Genomic DNA, 4,605 nt, shown 5'->3' with positions numbered 1-4,605 from the left:
ACTCATTGTGCCAGGAAACCAAGGTCTACAGAGGCTAAATGGTTTTGCCAAGGTGAATTAAGGTGGCAGGATGGAACCAAACATGCCAGGCTCTCATGCTGCAAATCCTTTGCTTTCTCCATGCAAACGGCCAAGCAGCTCAGTACAGGATGCCTGCCTGGGCAACAAGAGCGAAACTCCATCTAAAAAAAAAAAAAAAAAAAAAAAAAAAAACCTGCTGCTCAATATCATTCATTTAGGCAAATAGGCAAATACAAAGGAAACTCACAAGGAGATACACCTCACACTTATTAGGATGGCTAGAAAAAAAACCAAATTGAAAATAACAAGTGTGTGAGGCCAGGCGCGGTGGCTCACGCCTGTAATCCCAGCACTTTGGGAGGCCGAGATGGGCGGATCACGAGGTCAGGAGATCAAGACCATCCTGGCTAACACAGTGAAACCCCGTCTCTACTAAAAATACAAAAAATTAGCCGGGCGTGGTGGCGGGCGCCTGTAGTCCCAGCTACTCAGGAGGCTGAGGCAGGAGAATGGCGTGAACCCAGGAGGCGGAGCTTGCAGTGAGCCGAGATCACGCCACTGCACTCCAGCCTGGGCGACACAGCAAGACTTGGTCTCAAAAAAACAAAATCAAAACAAACAAACAAAAAAGTATGTGAAGATGTAGAGAAATTGAAACTGTCATACACTGCTAGTGGGAAAGTAAAATGATGTAGATAGATATTTAATATTATCGAAAGCAATTTGGCACTTCCACAGAAAGTTAACCATAGTGCCATTTGATCCAGCAATCCCACTCCTGGGTATCTATCCAGAGGAAAAGAAGTCATTATACAGAAAAGACACTTGCACACGCATGTTTGTAGCAGCACCATTCGCAATTGCAAAAATATTGAACCAGCCCAAATGCCCATCAATGAGTGACGAATATATGTGTATGTATGTGTGTGTGTATATATATATATATATATACACACACACATATATATACATACCATGGACTACTACTTAGTCATAAAAGGAATTAAATAATGGCATTCACAGCAACCTGGGTGGAATTGGAGACCATTATTCTAAGTGAAGTAACTCAGGAATGGAAAACCAAACATTGTTTATTCTCACTAACAAGCGGGAGCTAAGCTGTGAGGACACAAAGGCATAAGAATGATACAATGGGTCAGGCGGGATGGCTCACACCTGTAATTGTAATCCCAGCACTTTCGGAGGCCGAGGCAGATGGATTACTTAAGGTCAGGAGTTCAAGACCAGCCTGGCCAACATAGTGAAACCCGCCCCCCCCCCCGACTAAAAATATAAAAATTAGCTGGGTGTGATGGCACGCACCTGTAATCCCAGCTACTCAGGAGGGTGAGGCAGGAGAATCGCTTGAGACCAGGAGGCAGAGGTTGCAGTGAGCCAAGATCGCTCCACTGCACTCCAGCCTGGGTGACAGAAAGAGACTCCATCTAAAAAATAGATACACAGTGGACTTTGGGGATGTGGGTTGGGGGAGGGTGGGAAGGAGGCAAGGGATAAAAGACTACACATTGGGTACGGTGTACACTGCTCCGGTAATGGGTGCACCAAAATCTCAGAAATCACCACTAAAGAACTTATCCATGTAATCAAACACCACTTGTTTCCCCAAAACCTATTGAAATAATAAAAAAAGTTAAACAGAATGGGAGGCTCCGGCGGCTCGTGCTCGCGCACGCAGGGTGGAGGCAGGGAGCGCACGACGTGCGCGCACCCTCTGCCCTGGTCCATCGCTGCCGCCTCCTTCTTCTGCAGCTCCTGGTGCTGCTTGTGTGCTCGTTTGGTGCGGACCTGGTACCTCTTTTGTGAAACGGCAGCTGAGGAGATTCCGGCGCTTGCCATGGCCGACGAAAAACCCAAGGAAGGAGTCAAGACTGAGAACAACGATCATATTAATTTGAAGGTGGCGGGGCAGGATGGTTCTGTGGTGCAGTTTAAGATTAAGAGGCATACACCACTTAGTAAACTAATGAAAGCCTATTGTGAACGACAGGGATTGTCAGTGAGGCAGATCAGATTCCGATTCGACGGGCAACCAATCAATGAAACAGACACACCTGCACAGTTGGAAATGGAGGATGAAGATACAATTGATGTGTTCCAACAGCAGACGGGAGGTGTCTACTGAAAAGGGAACCTGCTTCTTTACTCCAGAACTCTGTTCTTTAAAGACCAAGATTACATTCTCAATTAGAAAACTGCAATTTGGTTCCACCACATCCTGACTACTACCGTATAGTTTTCTCTATTCTTTCATTTCCCCCTTCCCTATTCCTTTATTGTACATAAAGTAACTGGTATATGTACACAAGCATATTGCATTTTTTTTAACTAAACAGCCAATGATATGTTTTGATTGACATCAAGTGGAGATGGGATGGGGAAAAATACTGATTCTGTGAAAATACCCCCTTTCTCCATTAGTGGCATGCTCATTCAGCTCTTATCTTTATATTCCAGTAAGTTATTTTGCTCTCACTGTTTTAACAAAAACAACAACAACAACAACATAAAAATCCTTGCATACCTTTTTCAATTGGAGAATTTTAATGATTTTCATTTATCATTGTAAAACCAAGGACAATTTTATAACTTTTTCGTACATAGCTGCTACATGTAGGGCAATCTGTCTTTAAGTAGGGATAAATTACTCTAAAACAAAAAAGAATCCTAGATACTTTTCCCTTCAAGTCAAGCGTCTTGTTTAAATAAACTGCTTGTTTAAAATGAAAAAAAAAAAGTTAAATATAGGTTTACCATGTGATCCAGCAATTCCACTCCTAAGTATATACCCGAGAGCTAAAAACAGATATTCAAACAAAAGTTATGCATGAATGTTTGTGGCAGCATTATTCATAAAACCCAAAAGGAGAAACAACCCAAATGCCCATGAACTGGTGAATGTTTAAACAAATGTGCTATATGCATACCATGGATTATTTTAGCCATAACATGGAATGAAGCACAGATACATAATACAATGCGGATTTAACCCTAAAAATATTATAATAAAGAACCAGACACAAAAGAATGCAGATTGCATGATCTCATTTATATGAAATGGCCAGAATAGGCAAATCTAAACAGACACAAAGTAGATTAGTGGATGCCAGGGGCTGGGGAAGGGGGAATAAGGAATGACTACTAATAGAGATGGAGCTTTTGGCTGGGTGCCATGGCTCATGCCTGTAATCCCAGCACTTTGGGAGGCCAAGGCAAGAGGATCACCTGAGGTCAGGAGTTCGAGACCAGCCTGACCAACAGGAAGAAAACCCATCTCTACTAAAAATACAAAATTAGCTGGGCATGGTGGTGCACACCTGTAATCCTAGCTACTTTGGAGGCTGAGGCAGGAAAATTGCTTGAACCTGGGAGGCGGAGGTTGCGGTGATCCAAGATTGCACCATTGTACTCTAGCCTAGGAAACAAGAGCAAAACTCTGGAAAGAAGGGGAGGGGAGGGGAGCTTTCATTTTAGAAAAATGTTCTAAAATTGGTTGTGCTAATGGATGCACAATTTTCTGAATGTGCTGAAAAGCAGTGACTTGTACATTTTTATATGGTGAATTTATATGATACGTGAACTGCTTATCAACAATAAAAAATAAACCAGCAGATAGATTCAATAAAATTTAGGTACAAGATTGGTGGGAAATTTTAAAATATGGGTGAATCAAGGTGAGAATACTGCAACTCACTGATCTTTTACATCAAATATATGCAAAACATATGTGAGTGTGGCCAGGTATGATGGCTCACACCTGTAATCCCAGCACTTTGGGAGGCTGAGGCAGGCGGATCACCTGAGGTCAGGAGTTCAAGACTAACCTGACCAACATGGCGAAACCCCATCTCTACTAAAAATACAAAAATTAGCCGGGTGTGGTGGTGCATGCCTGTAGTTCCAGCTACTCTACTCAGAAGGCTGAGGCAGGAGAATTGCTTGAACTCAAGAGGCAGAAGGTGGCAGTGAGCAATTGCGCCACCATACTCCAGCTTGGACAACAGAGCGAAACTCCGTCTCAAAAAATAATAATAATATGTGAGTGCTGATATCATGCAATCAAAGTACAAAGTATCAACTATGAATGTTCCTGCCAAAAAAAATTGTACCCAAATCTAACCAAATCCATAGATCTAACTACAAGATATTCTGCTTAAAAAGGAATATGTTTTGCACTGAAATGGATACAGTGAAATGTAGAAGGTGAATAATTCTACAGGACAAATAATAAACTAGTCTCTCACCAAAGGAATAGCAAAGAAAAAAACAGGGAGAGTTGTTACAGATTACAGATTAGAAGATGAAGAGGAAATATTTGAATCAATGTTATCTGTAATACTTCTTCTTTCTTTCTTTTTTTTTTTTTGAGACAGAGTCTCACTCTGTCACCCAGGCTGGAGTGCAGTGGCACCGTGTCGGCTCACTGCAACCTCCATCTTCTAGGTTCAAGCAATTCTCCTGCCTCAGCCTCTGAGTAGCTAGGATTACAGGCGTCTGCCACCATGCCCAGCTAATTGTTTTATATTTTTGGTAGAGATGGGGTTTCACCATGTTGGCCAGGCTGGT

General features: G+C 42.4%; 1 pseudogene, besides 1 other annotated feature; it reads left to right on the top strand.

The window, feature by feature from the left end:
• Positions 1,752 to 2,766, top strand: SUMO2P21 (SUMO2 pseudogene 21; annotated as a pseudogene).
• Positions 1,754 to 2,267: an enhancer, noted in NCBI's record as "H3K4me1 hESC enhancer chrX:114953159-114953672 (GRCh37/hg19 assembly coordinates)". NCBI's record gives its function as "activates a minimal SCP1, AML or CMV promoter by ChIP-STARR-seq in naive H9 embryonic stem cells {active_cell/tissue: H9 hESC(naive)}" and the evidence as "EXISTENCE:reporter gene assay evidence [ECO:0000049][PMID:30033119]".

Source organism: Homo sapiens, chromosome X (assembly GCF_000001405.40).
Source record: "Homo sapiens chromosome X, GRCh38.p14 Primary Assembly".
Lineage (NCBI taxonomy): Eukaryota > Metazoa > Chordata > Mammalia > Primates > Hominidae > Homo > Homo sapiens.
Note: the sequence above shows the minus strand (reverse complement) of the source record. Positions and strands in the feature narration are given on the sequence as shown.